The sequence below is a fragment of the Homo sapiens genome, chromosome 3 (genome assembly GCF_000001405.40).
Source record: "Homo sapiens chromosome 3, GRCh38.p14 Primary Assembly".
Classification (NCBI taxonomy): Eukaryota; Metazoa; Chordata; class Mammalia; order Primates; family Hominidae; genus Homo; species Homo sapiens.
In genome coordinates, this window is record NC_000003.12 from 174,848,078 (window position 1) to 174,867,492 (window position 19,415).

At 34.0% G+C, this 19,415-nt stretch overlaps 1 protein-coding gene across 17 annotated transcripts in view; it reads left to right on the forward strand.

Annotated features, from left to right (window-relative positions):
- Positions 1-19,415, forward strand: part of NAALADL2 (N-acetylated alpha-linked acidic dipeptidase like 2) — a 1,369,567-nt gene that overhangs the window by 407,096 nt on the left and 943,056 nt on the right. For 3 of the 17 annotated variants that reach the window (XM_011512613.3, XM_047447880.1, XM_047447881.1), the window contains exon 1: positions 11,257-16,013. The exons of 11 other annotated variants lie outside the window; for them this stretch is intronic. In XM_011512613.3, the coding sequence (XP_011510915.1) occupies positions 15,992-16,013 (22 nt within the window). In that variant the 5' untranslated portion in view covers positions 11,257-15,991. Of the gene's footprint in view, positions 1-11,256; positions 16,014-19,415 lie in introns of those variants that run through there. 3 more of the 17 variants (XM_047447878.1, NM_207015.3, XM_047447879.1) reach the window with 1 other exon arrangement.

A 19,415-nucleotide genomic window follows, 5' to 3' on the forward strand; every position in this document is an offset into this window, starting at 1 on the left:
TCAATCAAGTTATTTTGCTCTCGCTGTGATATGCTATTTATTAAAAACAATTAAGTACCAAAGTTGTGTAATTCAATGTATTTGTAACATTTTATATACCAAGGTTTCCATGTTTTATGACATGTAATGCCAACATTCATGCTTTGAAAACCACTTTATAATTTTTTTCAAATTTTCACAAATGTCTTCCTTTGAAAATCAGAACTAAATAATAATAATAATCACTTCAGTAGCTGACCTTACAAGTTGAACCTGCAAAATTAGTTTTTTCCCCTTGAGTAGTTTATAAGTGATATTCTCCAACCGAGTGATAAATGATAGTATTTGAAATCTCTTTTGCCAACTTTCTTTTTGAAATCACTTAGAAGTGGGATTTTGGAAACATGAATAGGTGATGTGGTTGAATATAATGTTTACCGTTGTGCCATATAAGTTTCTTAAAAATGTGCTCAGTAATTTTTACAGAAATGGCTCAAAATGCATATAGAGGACTCACTGACTGTGAGCCTTTCAAGCTTCTGAAAATCTTCATGATAATTTTTATAATTATGTCAGTTTCATTTTCACAGCTTTGCAGTGAAGTTCTTCAGTGAGGTTCACCAGTGCTTTTTGTTTTTGTAATGTGTGTTTTAAACTACAGTCATGCGTCACTTAATAATGGGGATACATTCTGAGAAACATATCTTAACTGATTTTTGTTGTTGCGTGAACACCATAGAGTGTACTTCATAGAGCAAACATTATAGAGTATAAAAATATAGAGGTTATAGCTTACTGCAATCCTGGGTTTTACAGTATAGCTTACTGAACATCTAGTCTGTATGGTATAGCCTATTGCTCCTAGGCTGTAAACCTGTAGAGCATATTACTATACTGAATATTGCAGGCAATTGGAACACGATGGTAAGTGTTTGTATATTTCAACATATCTAAACATGGAAAAGGTACAGAAAAATATGATATAAAAGATTAGAAATGGTACATCTCTGTAGGGCCCTTACCATGAATGGATCTTGCAGAGTTGGAAGTTGTTCTGCGTGAGTCAGTAAGTGTGTGGTGAGTGAATGCAAAGAACTAGGACATTACTGTAAACTACTATGGACTTTATAAACACTGTAAACTTAAGCCTACATTTATAAAACATATTTTTCTTTCATCAATAATAAGTTAATCTTAATTGACTCTATCTTTTATACTTTACAAACTTTTTATTATTTTCTTATTGATTCTGTTGTAATAACATTCAGCTTAAAACACAGACACATTGTACAGCTGTACAAAAATATTTCCTGTTTGTATATTCTTATTCTATATGCTTTTGTTCTATTTTTAATGCTTTCTTAAAATTTTCAATTTTTTTTGCTAAAAATGAAGATGCACTGGGCACGGTGACTCACGCCTGTAATCCCAGCACTTTGGGGGGCCGAGGCGGGCAGATCACAAGATCAGGAGTTCAAGACCAGCCCTGCCAACACAGGGAAACCCCGTATCTACTAAAAATACAAAAATTAGCTGGACATGGTGGCGGGTGCCTGTAATCCCAGCCACTTGGGAGGCTAAGGAAGGAGAATTGCTTGAATCTGGGAGGCGGAGGTTGCAATGAGCTGAGATCGCGCCATTGCACTCCAGCCTGGGTGACAGAGCGAGACTCTGACTCAAAAAAAAAAAAAAAAAAAAAAAAAGATGCAAACACATACATTAGCCTAGGCCTACGCAGGGTTAGGATCATCATTATCATTGTCTGCCACCTCCACGTCTTGTCTTGCTGGATTGTCTATTTCTTAAAAATTGTTGTACCTATTATTTTTGATTGGTTTGTCTTTTAATCTTCCTACTAAAGATATAAGTATTTTACACACAACAATTAAAGTGTTATAGGATTTTATATTTCTCTGTCACTTACCTTTACCAGTGAGTTTTTATAACTTCAGGTAATTTATTGTTGCTTGTTAACATACATTTCTTTCAGAGTGAAGAACTTCCTTAGCATTTTTTGTAACATAGGCCTGGTGTTTATAAAATACCTCAGCTTTTGTTTGTCTGGGAAAGTATTTCTCCCTCATGTTCGAAGGATAATTGTGGTGGATATAATATTCTAGGTTGGAAGTATTTTTTTTTTCCTTCAGCACTTTGAATATTTCATCCTACTCTAGCCTATCCTGTAAGATTTCCACTGGGATGTCTGCTGCCAGACATATAAGAGCTCCTTTATATGTTATTTGCCTCTTTTGCTGCTTTTAGATTAAGTATCCTTTCAGATTAAAAACAAAAACAAGATCCAGTTAAATGCTACCAACAAGAAACTCACCTCACATATAAAGACACACTAAACTGAAAATGAAGGGATAGAAAATATATTCAACGCTAATAGAAACCAAAAAAGAGCAGGACTGTATTTATGTTAGATAAAATAGATTTCAAGACAAAAACTGTAAAAAGAGACAAAGAAAATATCATATAATGATAAATAGGTAAATTAAGCTGGAGGATTCAACAATTGTAAATATTCATGCTCTGAATGCTAGAGTACCCAGATATGTAAAGCAAACATTATTGGAACTAAAGATAGAGACCCCAATACAATAATAGCTGTGGACTTCAACACACCATTTTCAGCACTGGACATATCACCCAGATAAGAAATCAACAAATCAACATGGAACCTAATTTATAGATCAAGTGAATCTAATAGACATTTACAGAATATTTTATCCAACAAATGCAGAATGCACATTCTTCTCCTAAGCACATGGAACATTCTCAATGATAGACCATATATAAGTCCACTAAAGATGTCTTAATTTAAAAAAAAACACTGAAATTATATCAAGTATCTTTTCTGACTACAGTGGAATAAAACTAGAGAGTTGTAACCAGAGAAACTTTGGAAACTCTACAAACACTTGAAAGTTAAACATTATTCTCCTGAATGACCACTGGGTCATTGGAGAAGTTAAGAAGGAAGTTTTTTCAATTCTAGAAACAAATGAAAATGGACACGCAACATACCAAAACCAATATGACACTGCAAAAACAGTAGTGAGAGGGAAGCTTAGAACAATAAATGCCTTCATCAAAAGTACAACTTCCAAAAAACAACCTAATGATTCATCTTAAAGAAGTAGAAATGCAAGGGCAACCAAACTCAATCTTAGTAGAAGAAAATAAATAATAAATATCAGAGCAGAAGTAAATGGGATTGAAACAAACAAAGACAACACAAAAGCAAGTAAAGAAGGTTTTTGGGGGAAAGATAAACAAAAGTGAAAAAATTTCAGCCAGACTAAAAAAAAAAAAAAAAAAAATCAGAGAGAAGACCCAAATAAATAAAATCAGAGTTGAAAAAGGAGACATTACAACCGATAGCTAAGAAATTCAAAAGATTGTTTTGAGCAACTATACTATGAGTAACTATATGCCAATAAATTGGAAAACCTGGAAGAAATGGATAAATTCCTAGACATGTCCAACCTACCAGTGTTGAACTATGAATAACTTTATATCTGGAACAGACCAATAATAAATAATGGGATCAAAGCTGTAATAAAAAGCCTCCTATCAAAGAAAAGCCAAGGACCTAATTGCTTCACTGGAGAATCCTACTCAAACTATTTCAGAAAATTTAGGAGGAGGGAATAATTTCAAACTCTTTCTACAAGGCTAGTATTATCCTGATAGCAAAACCAGGCAAAGAAAAAACAGATAAGTACATGCTACTATTTCTGATGATCATAGATTCCAAAATCTTCAATGAAATATTAGCAAACTGAATTCAACAACACATTAAAAAGATCACTTATCAAGAACAAGTGGGATTCATCCCAGGGATGCAACGATGGTTCAACATATGCAAATCAATCATTGTGATACATTACTTTAACAGAATGAAGGAGAAAATCTATATGATCCTTTCAATAGATACCCAAAAAGTACTTGGTAAAATTCAACATACCTTCATGAGAAAAACTCTCAAAAAACTGGGTATAGAAGGAACCAACCTGATAACTACCTTACAAAACAGAACCACAGCTAGTATTATGCTGAGTGGGAAAAACTGAAAGCCTTTTTTTCTAAGATCCAGAATAAGAGAATGATGCCCACTTTCACTACTTTTATTTCACTTAGTAGTGGAAGTCCTTGCCAGAACAATTAGACAAGAGAAAGAAATAAAGGCATCCGAATTGGAAAGGAATTAAAAATATCCTTCCTTGCAGATGTTATAGCCTTATATTTAGAAAAACCTAAGTACTCCACCAAAAAAACAATTAGAACTGATAAACAAATTTAGTAAAGTTTCAGGACACGAAGTTAACATACAAATTCAGTGGCATTTCTATGTCAACAATAAACTATCTAAAAAGAAACCAAAAAAGTAATCCCATTTACCATAGCTATAGATAAAATTAAATACTTTGGAATAAACTTAACCAAATAAGTGAAATATCTCTATAAAAAACTATAAAACATTGATGAAAGAAATTGAAGAGGACACAAAAACATGGAAAGATACTCCATGTTTATAGAATGGAAGAATAAATGTGGTTAAAATGTCTATACTACCCAAAGCAATCTACAGATTCAGTGCAATCTGTATGAAAATACCAATGAAATTCTTCAGAGAAATGGAAAAAACAATCCTAAAATTTATGTAGAACTACAGAAGACTCAGAATAGCCAAAGCTATCCTGATCAGAAAGAACAAAGCTGGAGTCATAACATTACCTTACTTCAAATTATACTATAAGGCTACAGCAACAGCATGGTACTGTCATAAAAATGGATGCATAGATGATGGAGCAGAATAAACAAAACCCAGGGATAAATCCATACATATACCACAAACTGATTTTTGACAAAGTTGCCAAGAACATGAATTGGGGAAAATACAGTCTCTTCAATGAATGATGCTGGGGAAACTGGATATCTACATGCATAAAAATTAAACTAGACTCATATCTCTCATCATGTTCAAAAATCAAATCCAAATTGATTAAAGACTTACATCTGGCAGGGTGCAGTGGCTCAAGCCTGTAATCCCAGCACTGTGGGAGGCCAAAGTGGGCAGATCACGAGGTCAGGAAATCGAGACCATCCTGGCCAACATGGTGAAACCCCGTCTCTACCAAAAAAAAAAAAAAAAAAAAAAAAAAATTAGCCGGGTGTGGTGGCTCGCACCTGTAGTCCCAGCTACTCAGGAGGCTGAGGCAGGAGAATTGCTTGAACTTGGGAGGAAGAGGCTGCAGTGAGCCGAGATCATGCCACTGCACTCCAGCCTGGCAACAGAGCGAGACTCAATCTCAAAAAAAAAAAAAAAAAAAATAGATTTACACCTAAGACCTTAAACCATGAAATTGCAAAAAGAAAACTTTGGAAAATGCTCTAGGAAATGGGCCTGGGCAAAGTTTTCATGACTAAAACCTCAAAAGCGGAGGCAACCAAAGCAAAAGTAGACAAATGGGATCACACCAAATTAAAAACCTTCTGCAGAGTGAAGGAAACAATCTACAAACTGAAGATACAGCCCACAGAATGAGAAAAAATATTTGGAAACTATTCATCTGATGATTAATAATCAAAATATGTAAAGAGCTCTAACAACTGAATAGCAATAAAAAAAAATCTGATTTTAAAATGGGCCAAAGATCTGAATAGACATCTTGCAAAAGAAGATATAAAAATGGCCAATAGGTATATGAAAAAATGTTCATCATCACTAATCATCAGAGATATGCAAATCAAAACTACAATGATATATCCTCTCAACCCAGTTAAAATAGCTTTTATTAAAGAGACTGACAATAATGGATGCTGGTATGGATGTGGAGAATGGGTAACCCTCATAAACTATTATTGGGAATGTAAATTATTATAGTCAGTATGGAAAACAGTATGGAAGTTCCTCAAAAAAGCAAAAATAAAACTACCACATGGTCCAGCTATCTCACTGCTGGGTGTATATTCAAAAGAAAGGAAATCAATATATCAAAGATGTATTTGAACTTCTGTGTTTATTGCAGCACTATTCACAATAGTCAAGATATGGAATCAATCTAAGTGTCCATCAACAGATGAATGAATAAATAAAATATAGTACTTATACATAATAAGAGTATTATTCAACCATAAAAAGAATGAAATAATATCTTTTGCAGTACATGGATGGAACTGGAGGCAATTATGTTAAATGAAATAAGCCAGGCACAGAAAGATAAATATTGCATGTTCTCACTCATATGTGAGACATACAAAACGTAATTTGAACTTGTGGAGATAGAGAATAGAATGAAGATTACTAGTGGATGGGAAACCTAGTAGAGAGAAAGGGATAAACGGGATGGTTAATGGGTACAAAACTACAGTTTGATAGAAGGAATAAGATCTAGTGTTTGGTAGCACAATAGGGTGACAATGGTTAACAGTAATTTATTGTACATTTCAAAATCATTAAGAGTGAAATTGTAATGATTTTAACACAAAAATTATGAATACTGGATGTGAATGATATCCCAATTATGCTAATATCCATTACACATTATTTTGTTGTATCAAAATATCACTTTTACCACATACATAGGTACAACCATTATGTATCCATAATAATTAAGAATAAAATTATTTTTAAAGAATAAAAATGACAAAAAACTTTAAAAGAATAAAATAACAAAAGTATAATATATTGAATACGTAACACAGTATCATTGTTTTTATTATCAAATATTACGTACTTTACATAATTGTATGTGCTTTGCTTTTTTTTCTTTTTTTTTTTTTTTTTTTTGAGATGGAGTTTCCCCTTGTTGCCCAGGCTGAAGTATAGTGGCATGATCTCAGCTCACTGCAACCTCTGCCTCCCAGGTTCAAGTGATTCTCCTGCCTCAGCCTCCCAAGTAGCTGGGACTACAGACTCCCACCACCACACCTGGCTAATTTTTGTAGGTTTTAGTAGAGATGGTGTTTCACCATGTTGGCCATGCTGGTCTCGAACTCCTGACCTCAGGTGATCCGCCCGCCTTGGCCTCCCAAAGTGCTAGGATTACAGGCGTGAGTCACTGTGCCCGGCCTATGCTATACTTTTACATGAGTGGCAGCATAGTAGCTATTTTTATATCAGCATCAACACAAAACATGTGAGTAATGTCTTATGCAAGACATTTTGACAGCTATGATGTTATGACAGCTATGACATTATGACAGCCATGACATCCCTAGGCGATAGGAAAATTTTGGCTTCGTTATAATCTTTTGAGACCACCTGTGTTTATTCAGTCCACCATTGATTGAAACATCATTATTCAGTGCATGACTATGGTGTATTAACTTCTTATTCTCTTTCATTTCTTATCCTGGTTTTGACTTTTATTTTGGAAATTCTCATAATTACCATCATTTCTTATATCCTTCTAACTCTTAATGTTTTGCTCTTGCAGTTAAAACTCCCTACTTTCCCTCATCACTTTTCGCTTTTAAGCTTTAATTTGTTACTTTTCCCAACTGAAAATTTTCTATCATCTTCTTTGCTAATCTATGTCTTTGTTTTCTTTGAGACTCTTTTATTCACCCTTTCTGATGATGGTAATTTTATTCATTTTCACAAAATTCATTGCAGGCTCAATGTGTGCTAGGAACTGGGCTAGGTGCCAGGAACTTGATGACTACTTTTAAAGTGTCTTTGGCATAACAGAGTGTCAGGAGAGAAATACACACACACACACACACACACACACACACACACACACACACACATGTATATGTCTCATATATATGAAAGATATGTATATATGTGTATATATGTATATATACATACATATGAATATATATACACATAGATATGAATATATATACACATAGATATGAATATATATACACATAGATATGAATATATGTGTATGTGTGTGTGTGTGTGTATATATATATATATATATATATGAGAGAGAGAAGTAAGAGAGAGAGACAGGTTCTCAGTCTGTCACTCAGGCTGGAGTCCAGTGGTATGATCATAGCTTACTGCAGCCTCAAACTTCTGGACTCAAGCAATCCTCTCATCTCAGTCTCTTGAGTAGGTGTACTACAGGCACACACCATCATGCCCAGATAATTTTTGTATTGTTTGTTCACACAGGATTATGCTATGTTGACCAGGGTGGTCTTGAACTCTTGGGCTTAAGCGATCCTTCTGCCTCAGCCTCCCAAAGTGCTGGGATTACAGTCGTGAGCTCCTGTGCCCAGTCTGAGAAATAATTAAGAAGTACAGTAGTCTTCCTGAATCCACACTTTTCCTTTCCACAATTTGTTATCAATGATCATCGTGGTCCAAAAATATTGAATGGAAAATTTTAGAAACAATCAATAAGTGTAAAATTGTGCATCATTCTGAGTGACTTGATGAGATCTCATTCTGTCCTGCCCAGGATGTGAATCATCCGTATGTCCAGTTTATTCACACTGTAGGTGCCTGTTAGCCACTTAGGATCCATCTCAGTTATCAGAAGGACTTTCATGGTAATTTGGTGCATGTTTTCAACTCTTATGTTACTTAATAATGGTCCCAAAATGCAAAAGTTATGAGGCTGGCAATTCAGATATGCCAGAGAAAAGCTGTAAAGTGATTTCTTTAATTGAAAAGATGAAAGTTTTGAGTTAATTAGGAAAGAAAATTTTATTGAGGTTTCCAAGATCTACTGTAAGAACATACCTTCTATTTGTAAAATTGTGAAGAAGGAAAGAGAAATCTGTGCTAGTTTAAGCTGTCACACCTCAGACTGCAAAAGTTACAGCCACGGTGTGTGATAATTGCTTAGTTAAGATGGAAAAGGCATTAAATTTGTGGGTGGAAGATATGAACACAAATGTGTTCCGATTGATGTCATTTGGGTTTGGTACTATATGTGGTTCAAGCATTCACTAAGGGTCTTGGAATGTATTCTCCTGAGGTTAAGGGGGCCTACTGTACCTATAATATAATGTGACAAGAGCCATGGTGAAATGAAAAGTTTAGAATTGTTAAGGGGTGTCTGGGAGCACAAGGAAGGGACCTGAACTCAGACTGAATTCAACAAGAATTTCTGCATATGAATTCAGCAAAAGGGAGGTGAAGAAGTTTTTTAGGCATGTGCAAAACTCACCAGGTATGTTAAAAAACGTCCTGGAAGAAATTTTCCAGGCATGCACAAAGACCCAGAAGGAGAAAGAAAATATGTGTGCACATGGCACTTTATTAGTATTGCAACTGATTCTTTTCTACTCAATCAGTATTTATGTTACTTTCTGTGAACTTACGAACTTAAGACCTTTCTGGTGTTTATATTTGTATGGATTTTTTGTTATCGTTTAAGAATAGGACTTCTCTATTCCACTTTCATCGTAATTTACCACATGCTATAATTCAGCTCATAGATAATGGGTGCTTTATAACTGTTATTGACTAATTTCAGTGCCTGGGGCAGGTCTGTAAATATATTTCCAAGTTTGTCATAATGAGTGAGGATTGATATGTGTGTTGGTCCTTTTAAAGTGAAGTAAGAATGTGATGATTACAGTGTTTTATTGGCAAACATTCAATTTCAAGTTACTGTTGGTAAAGTATGTAGCATGGTGTGTATATATATATATTACAGTATGCAATTGCTATAGGCAAAGGGTTATTCTATTCTGGAGCAAACCACAACCCAGATTTTAAATCAGAGGCTCCTGGCATTATAAAGAGAGAATGGGTTTTCAATGGTCCAGCTCCCTCATAGAAGAAACTGAGACCTAGAGAGGTAATAAATGAAAGAGACAACTCCCAATTGCAATCAGAAATTTTTAATGTCATGTTTGCCTTTATTTCTAATACTTTTGAGAAAAACTGTTGTTTGACATTTCTGTACTTTACACAACTTATATAGTCAATTTTTACATTAGTAAGCTAGCACACATAATATATAGATTTTTTCAAATTAAAAAGCAATGGATTATAAAGAAAGGAGCTTGAGCTTCATATACATATATATGTGTGTAACTACAGCCTATATATATATATTAGCTGCAGACTAATAAAAATGTTTTTATATATTATATATTTGAATATAATAATATGTAATTATTACAATATTAAATATATAATATATAATTTGTAAAATATTAATATATATGAATATGAATATATATTTATATTCATTTATTTACTAGTCTAACTACAGCCAAAGTTAAGGATTTCTAGAGGGAAGAAAGTGGAGATTGTTTTTTATTCTAGGTGCCTTATGGGGGACAAAGCTTAAATAAATTGCCTTAATTCTGTGATATCTTTGCTTTCTCACATACAAATGAATATTTAAAGATACGTCTCCAATTTGTTGCTCTTGTTTGCTGGGAATTATTTTTGTTGAGTCACAACAGTTAATCTAAGTTAATATTCACCATGCTTCTATTCAAAAGGCAATGCAAATATCATGACTCTCCTTTTACAAATGAGGACCTTGAGGCAACTCAGGATTAGGTTGAACAGTTTTTTTCAGGTCTCTCAGTTAATAAGTTGCATAACTGATGTCAGTACATGATCTGGGACATCAATGCTGCAGTTCAGCATTCATTCCACTCATCAGAAGAACAAGAGGGAGAGAAGGAAGAAGAAGGAAAAGGAAGAGGAAAATTAGAAATTGTTTTTTGTTTATTGTCCATTATTCACAGTGTTTAGCACAGCCATACATTAGTGTTTTCAATCTTCGTACTAATCATACATACTTCATACATACTAGATATTATTCTATTTTATAGTTTAGGAAACTGAGTCTCAAAGAAGTTATATTCTTTGCTTACAGTCACACAGCAAGTATTAGAGATAATCCAAAACTTGTCTTCACACTGCTGCACAAAACTGACTCTGAGCTGTTCCTTATTTCCCTATGGTTTAAAAAATAAATGTCGTGTAATACACTTTAAATTTGATTTCTGTAGGAAAAGTAGATTAGAAACACTCAAAAACAAAGAAACCAAACTCTGTGAAGCTTGGTGTACTGGTAATATCAATGCTCTTTTAGGGGAAAATATAAATATGTTTCTGGACTAAAGTGAAAGTAGAGAATTAAAAGTTTATATCAAAACTGAAACAAAGCAATGTTTTGTGAAGTACACTTTAATAGCCATACAGTGGATCAAAAGATATGATCTCACTTCATAGTAAAACAGGTCCTGCAAGCCCAGGTAACTCAGGAAGCAGAATGGTAATTATTCACAGAAGAAAGCAGGTAGTATACTGTTACAATACTACAGTAGAAAGTCAGAAGGTCACAAAGCTTGCAGGGTAAGTGACACAACTTGAAACTGCTTGGCCCTCTTTAAAAAGAAATAATAAAATGGGAGAGAATGAAGCAAGTTTACCTAACACGTCTTTGCAAGGTAAGTACCAACAGCCTATGAACTTTTCACTTTTCACAATCAGAAACTTAAGCAGTGTTGATTACAAAGTCTGTGTGTTTCTGTGTATGCACACACGCATCCCTGCATGCATGTTCAGGTGCCCTGGCCCTGTTTTTAAGGTGTTTTCTGCGAGCGAGAAAAGAGGTGGAGATTGTTGATTCAGAGGAAGCATGTTTTCTCAGTTGTTTACAAAGACTCAGGCAACACAGAATCACAAATTTGGGGGACCCGTGGAGGGTATGGAAAGCTTTATCCTTAATCCCCAGTATAATGTTGGAGAAATGGTATAACCAACTTCCAGTGCATTTTCATGTTGGACCTTTTCCAACATTAACAGAACCTTGATTTTTGTCTCTACCTGTGGAGTGTTTATTGGTAATTAAGTTTTGCCATCTCTGGAGTTTACCAGCTCAGTTTCCCTGTAATTAATATAACCACTTTTTAAAAGGTAGAAAACAGGGGAACATGGGCGAGCCTATCAGTTAGGAGGCTGTGATTTATTTCACAGGTGTTGCTTAATCAGATACCTTTGTCCTTTGAAAGGACTGGCTTTGTTGACATTGGCTTGACTAGGCATCTCTGGTTAGAGGCTTGTTCACCGAAACAAATTTAAGGTCGCTCACATTTCACATTTTTGGGTAACAAAAGTTATTTCTTAAAGAAGAAAAAGAAAGTAGATATTGGGCCTAATCAATATTTGTTATAGACTTCTAGAATACCATGAGATCACATAGATCTGCATGATCCTAAAAATATATCACCTATTTTATAGTTAAATTATATTTTTCTTTCATTTCTTTAATCTTTTCTCTACATAGCCTGCTTAAGAATCCCCGTATCTTTTTTTATCTCTGTATATTTCCTAAAAATCTTTCTTGAAATACTGTGTAAAATGCTACTATAAAGCATTTTTAATTTAAAAGATTAATTTCAAAAGTCATGTAATAAATTCTATTGAAGAAAAACAGTAAGGTAAAAGGCTCATTTAGCATAATGAGAATCATTTATTTCTATGTGTCTTATGGACAAATGGTATTATGTACAAGATTATAACATATTCCTTATTTGTCTCTAATATTTTTCATTGGAAAGTATATGGGAAGCCTCTAGTTTGTTCCAATTGTGCATATGATAATGATTTTACATTAAATGTTTATTACTGTTTGGCAACCACCTAAATAGCCTATTCTAGGCTGTGTGGGTGCATCACCTGTCTGTATTCAGCGATCAAAATAAACTAAGGAGTAACCAGGCCTCTTTCCATTTCACTCATTATCCCTCTTTGTGTTAGGATCATGGGTAATATTTTTTTAATTGAATCCCAGATTGTGTATACATTTTGTTGTTGTTTCTTTCTTTTTCTCTGGTGCTTTTTATGTATATTATGTTTCTGGTAATACATATGTTTCACTGTGTAAGGATAGCCTTCCCTTTCCCCTATCCATATATATGTATAAAACTACAATTATTTTCAGAATTATTAATCAGAAAACCATGCACAAAATTCAACACAAGTGATATAGTAAATAATTTGAATGGTGTGCTTTAAGTTCAAGAACAGTGTGCCTAATCTTTAAGCCTTTTGTAGTTGGGTAAAACTTGTGAAATCAGTTATATACTAGGGAGTTTTTGTTTGTATACTCTGAAAACTTTTCAATAAAATATTTATTCTCTTCTGATCTTATTCATGTTTAAATGTATCCTTGGTAGGTCTGTAAATATTTCAGATCTATCTTCTTGGAGTATTGAAGTGCTTCCCTACCAGTTATATTTGCATCAAGATTCTTAAGAGCACCTATTAATCAAGTGAGGGTTAAAAAGAACCGATGGTAGTTCAGTTGTTGGTTTCGTTTCTGGATTTCTTTACATTATAAAGGCAATGGAATGCCTTAACATTTTTCTGTTGTCTGTGATACCCTGTCCAAAATCTGAAATTGAGTTTCAAAATGACCAAAGTGAATGAAAAGTTATTTTCTAGTGTTCAATTTCACCTTTGACTTAATGACATTTATAAAAAATTCTGAGGTTCTTTCAAATAATACTCATTGTCAGCTCCACTTACAAACGGATGTTCTTTAGTGGAAATAACTATGTTAAAATAATATGTTTTGTATATTAAACATGTGGATGACTTACGTGTTTTGACTATGAGGATAATATATTATGTAGATTATCATTGGAACTCCATCAAGTGCTTTGAATAATGATTTTCTAAGGCCATGTATCTAGATTTTCTAGATTCACTGAATGATCTCTAGTTACAATTTGAAAGGCTAGCCATAGATATTATCAATGATTATTCATCACAGTGCTTTTTCTGTACATCTCTGACCCAATTATACTCTCAGGGGGTTAGTTGCATGTGCCCTGGTTAGTGGAGCCCATATGCCATTAACATTTAGTGTTTCTGGTAGTATTGAGAACCCATTTTTTTTTTTTCCTGAATAAAAGTGAAGTTATTCCAAGGTTATCTTGAGCTGTGTGAACAGATTTTAATTAGCTTTTCAAACATAAAAAGGAATCTCCTCTTTTAGTCCCAATGACAAGGTAACCCCAGCGGAGAATTGTGTAAAGCTATCATACATGAAGGTTCATAATGTCCTCAGGATTCATAAAATAAATTATCTAGGTAAGGAGAGAATGCTAGAATTTTTTTCTAAACGTTGCAAATATGAATAAAATTGTACAAATAATATGGCATAAGGAATAGGGGTAAGTGCTTTCTAAGCATTGTTATTTGTGAAGGGAAGGATCATTTTTCTTGCATAATGCCTGCAAACTCACCTGCACCACTGAGTGGCACTCTATCACTCCATCAGTCTGTAACAGGAGTAGAGGGAGGGACATGGCTGGGAGATGGGAGGGTGACAGCTCCCTTCCTGGAAGGGAACTACCTGGAATATGCCTTAGGCTAAAGTTTCTTCAGAGGCCATCCTTGAACGTATAAGGGCTTCTTACCTCTTCTCTGCCTCGAAGGATGTCCATTTCCTACTTCTCCCAGGATTCTTATTAACAGAGTAGGTCCTAGTCAGAATTGGAAAATGGGGAAAGAATCTATCAGCATCCAGCTATGTGCTTCACCTGCTGAGCTCCTGCTACCTCAGGAATCCAGTTTCCATGAGCTTTTAACATGTTCTTTCTCTCCTTTTCATCTTTAGTCGAAATATATTCAAGGGCACCTTCCTCTTTGTAAATAATATGATATACTAATTGGCCCTTGAGATAATTGAATAAAAAGTATTTCTGAGTTTAATGCTGGGACAATCTTGTGAGAGGAGGAATCTTTAAGTTACGCCTCCCTGGGCTGTTTAATACACTTGGCACTCGTGCTGCCTACCAGCTGCCTGGATGTTTTGAGCGTTTCTAATAATAGCTCTCCTTCTACTTCAGTTCTTCTTAGTTCTCTAGCTCTAGGAAATCCCTACTCTGAAGGCTACAAAACAGTAGAACTCTGGGGGAAGATGTTCCAAGTACAGAGGAGTTGGCTGGATCCTGAGGAATGCAGAGCTAGCTCTAGATAGCAACCAGCAGGAGATAACTCTTCAACCCACTGAAGGAGAATTTTGCCATCACAGTTAGGAAAAAATAATCTTCAGAAAATTAACATTTTCAAGCTAGAAGATAGTCTCAAGTCCAATGTTTTTACTTTGTAGAGTAACAGAGATCCTATGAAGCTAGGAAAATTGTTTTTGGTTTCACAGAAGCCATTGCCAGAGGCCACGTCTCTAACCTGCTGCTCAAAACTGCGTTTGCTGCAGTTTTACGGAAGAATTTGGTGCATTATTTTCTAGAGTAATTTACTTTCCTATTTCTAATGGAGAAAGCAGTCTTAGTAATGTTTTCCATATTGACGTCTTTTAGTTTCTATATTTATGGTCTTGAAAGCATTGTCGAGTATTCAGTGAGCTTATTATGGAACCTGTCCATCCAGGCTTGGGTTTTCTCTTTACTAAACAAAAGTTACATTAGCTTGTAAGACATTTAGTTAATTTTCATTACAGCTAGGAGAAGTTGGCTTGTAAGTTCATAGGCACATGTATGGAATGTTTCTTCATAATAGAGTCATTGTTTAGAAATGGCACTAATTCTATTTAAAATAAGTAAAAGAAAAAAAAAACAACTCTAGGCAGGAGGAGCCTTAGTGTCTATGCTTCCAAGTTGCAGCCTGAGGGTAGTAGTACTTTGTACTCCAACCTGTTATACTGGTTTGGTGTGCATGCTTACTTTCTGTGGTGGGAAAAATATCTCTGTATTCATCATCAGAAACCATGACTGTGAGTGCCTTGAAATCTTTGTGATGCCACAAAGAGGACTAACCAGTATGTGACTCTTCCTTCCCAGCCTACAGAACTTTAATAGCATTTTCAATTAACAGAAGTGCAAGGAGCTCCTGTTGGACCTGTGTTCCATGAGGAAGGCTTTCACTAGCCCTTCATGATAGGTTCAAACACTTGAAGACCTGAGGAATTTCAGAGTTGACATTTAGATATTGAGGTAACAGGACATCTTGGAGTTGAAATTTCCAGAATCTTTGCTGGAAAGTCTCATAATCTCAAAACAAAATCAAGCAAATTTGGAGCAAAGAAAGTTGCTGAAAATGTCAAGGCATGAAATCCAAGGTGAGTCTGACCTAAATGAGTGAGTTAGGCAAAGGTGCATGTGAAGATGGACTGGGTACATTTTCCAGGTACAAGAGAGGGTCTTTGCAGCAGGCAAAAGAGATTAGGAAAACAAAATCTGAAGTAAAGCCTAAGAAATAGTTAATGAAATCAACTAACTGAGCTTATGAGCTAATTTTTTCTTTGTCTTTCTAAGTGGAAGTGGAATCTTTACCTTATTAGAAATAAGATGGCAAGCAGTGTACTTGAATAGAACGTGAGATAAAGGTGGTCAATGACATGGTACTTAGTTAAAACCTGCTGTTGGAGGAAAAGCCAATTCTCAAACACTTTGAAATATGGAGTTTGTTCCTGGAGTTTGTTTAATCCCCTTTGATTTAAATAATATTTTATGGTACTGAAATTGTTTCAAAGGGAAACATTTTACATTTCAATTAAAGTCACTGTAAAATCTTCTTGAAGAAAAGGTGATACATAACTACAGGATGACTTGATTGTTTATACGTTATTATTAATCATGCAATAAAAACTTTTCCATCTATTTAAAAGTTTGAATCTGTTTTTGAATTTTTCTTTGAACAAAAGATGCAGTAATAATCTTAAGATTATAAGTATATAAATGTAATTATTACTTTGTATGCTATTCTCTGGATTTTGGAAGGAGTTTAAACAAATTTAGCTAATTGAGTAGGACAGTAAGCCAAACTTCTTTGTATCACAGTTTTTTGGGGGAGGACTATTAACCAAACATGTATTTGATTTATTATTGGAAAGTATTAGACTTGATATATAAGTGAAGAAATAACAGGTGACTGCAAAGATTGCAAAGAAGATGTTATTAGGATGACAATACACAAAAGGGCATTGAGCTTCAGTTGATCCCTTGAGCTTCTAATTACTCTTCAGGAAAAGTATGTGTCAATAGTTTTATTTGACAATGCTATTTTGTTGCTCTGGTGACAGATATGTTTAACCATCTGCATAGTCGAACACTTCGGGAGGCTCTTTCATAAATGCTTTCTGTAATTTATATTGAAAAGTAATTTACCTGCCTCTTTAAACCCCTGATTAGTGTAATGCAGGTTGTATATTGTGTCCAAAAAAAAATAATAAAGTTATAAAATCCTACCAACTAAAAAAGTCGAAAGAGAAATACTTTGAAAAGTCAACTGCTAAATTTAATGCAGTTTATAATGAACATGCAAAAGGTGTGCACGTATGCTTGTTAAACCATACAATCAACTTTACCGTGTGACTTGAAACTTCAGTGAAAGATTCATTCTGAGATCTGATTAAACTGCTGAAATCCATTCAATCTCTTGATTCCTTTGTTCTCTCAAAAGTAAGCTCCTTTGAAAACAGGTCATGAGAAGAGAGGAATGAAGGATTATTGTACTTTATCTTCCTCTTTATTTATGACCTTTAATGCAATCGTAGACCAGCCTATCTTCCATTAAACTATTGATAAATCTTGAAAATTTCTCCATCACATCCACATTTCTTCGAGGGAGCTTTCAGAGATGGAGAAATACACTGCCTCAAAAGGTAGACATTGCTTCCATTCTTGCTGATTCTTGGTATTGTTATAACACAGGGATGTAAATAAGAAATTATAGAGGAATCTAGGAATTTATAGAGGGTTTCATAGAAGAGAGATGATTTGAAATTTCCTTGGCAGTTTGATAAACTGGAATAAGTGACCAGAAGGAAAAAAGCCTTCACTGGTCAAAAGAACAGCTGAGAGAAAGCATGGAAATTGTTTCTATGTATTTACTTGCTTTATTTCCCCCCTCTTTGGAAACAGAGGATTTTTCAAAATTCTCTACTTTGCTATAGGCTATAAATAAATAAACATAATAGAGATAAGATTAAGACAATGTAACAGTTAAAATTTGTATACAAAATATATGCCAGAACATGCTGAAAAACTGTCAAGCAGGTGACAAATTTGCTTTCAAGCCTCCTAGCAGCCAAAAGAAAATAATAAATTGTTTTTCACATTTATGGTCTTCAAATTATATAGAAATGTACCAGTCATTCAACAGATGCATGGATTTCTTGATAGACATGATGATAGAAATTGAAATCATTTCTATAGAGGATAAGAGACAGGCCTAACTAGAAGAGAGCATCTTTATTAGAAAACACTGAGCATTAAAATTAAAATTGTTATAGAGAGAAGGAAAATACTATTATATAACTCATATAAGAATATTGACATAGATGATTTTCCTTTGAGCTCCTAAAGCTATTGCACTATGCAGCCATATATTTGTCACAAAAACATTTCTGCAGAAAAAATTTCAAACCTATAGTAAATCTGAAAATAGAAAGGAAAATAATAGAAGAATAATTTAAAAATATAGATTGTACAAGATCTATGTATTTACATGATTTACATATTTACACTGTTAAAACTTCAGAATAAAAATAGATTCTTTTAAAATTTAGGCTTCTATATATATATCTTATAAGCTTACTCAATTGTCTGTCCCAGAGTTCCTAATGAATTTTATATAGGTGTTTTGCATTTATTTTGGTTAATGAAGGGTTCAGTGCAGTTACTATGGCAGATCTGGGGAAGAGGAGAATAGAGATAAGAATAAGGAAGAGCATATGGGCATTGATAATAACGACTTTATAACCTTCAGATGCAATGAAGTAATGATGTTGCCTAGAAGTTATTTTATATGTAGGTAAATAGGAATTTGGAGAAAAAGAAAAAAATTACTAAGAAAATATTAATGTGTTTATTCTTGACTCTGATTTCTGATCAGTTTTAGCATCATATTTTATATTTTTTCCAGTTTACAATTAGACCTATAAAAATTTCTTTGGGGCATCTTTTTTTCTTTTCTAGATTAGAAAACCCATAATATTGTCTATATTTCTATAAAATACTTACTAATTACTAAATCATATTTATCAAAATATCTTATGTTGTTTAGTAACATAATCTGCAATTAAGTTGGTATGTAGGTAATAGAATGTTCTGGAAAAGGAGTCTATGTAAAATATTTAACTAAATTGATTAGATAATAAATAGTTTATCTTCATAATCACAAAAATAAAAAAGGGGAAAGAACTAGTAAATTGGGTACTAATTTAAGGCAGAAACTTACTAAGCTTATTTGACTCTCACAGTGTTGGCCTTCTCCTTTCTTCCAACAAACACACCAAGCTGATCCGCTATTAACACTTACATGTTTTGGTTGTTTCTGCTGAACTTCTTATATTATGTTCCTTCTTGTCAATCAGTTATCAGATTAAATATCATCTCCAGCCTCACAAACTAAACTAGCCAGTCTGTCTTAATGTGTGATTTTTAATTCTTTTAATATGTCACCATAAGCCATTTTCCTTTTTTGGTATATTTGTTTATTGTCTATTTCACTGCAATAA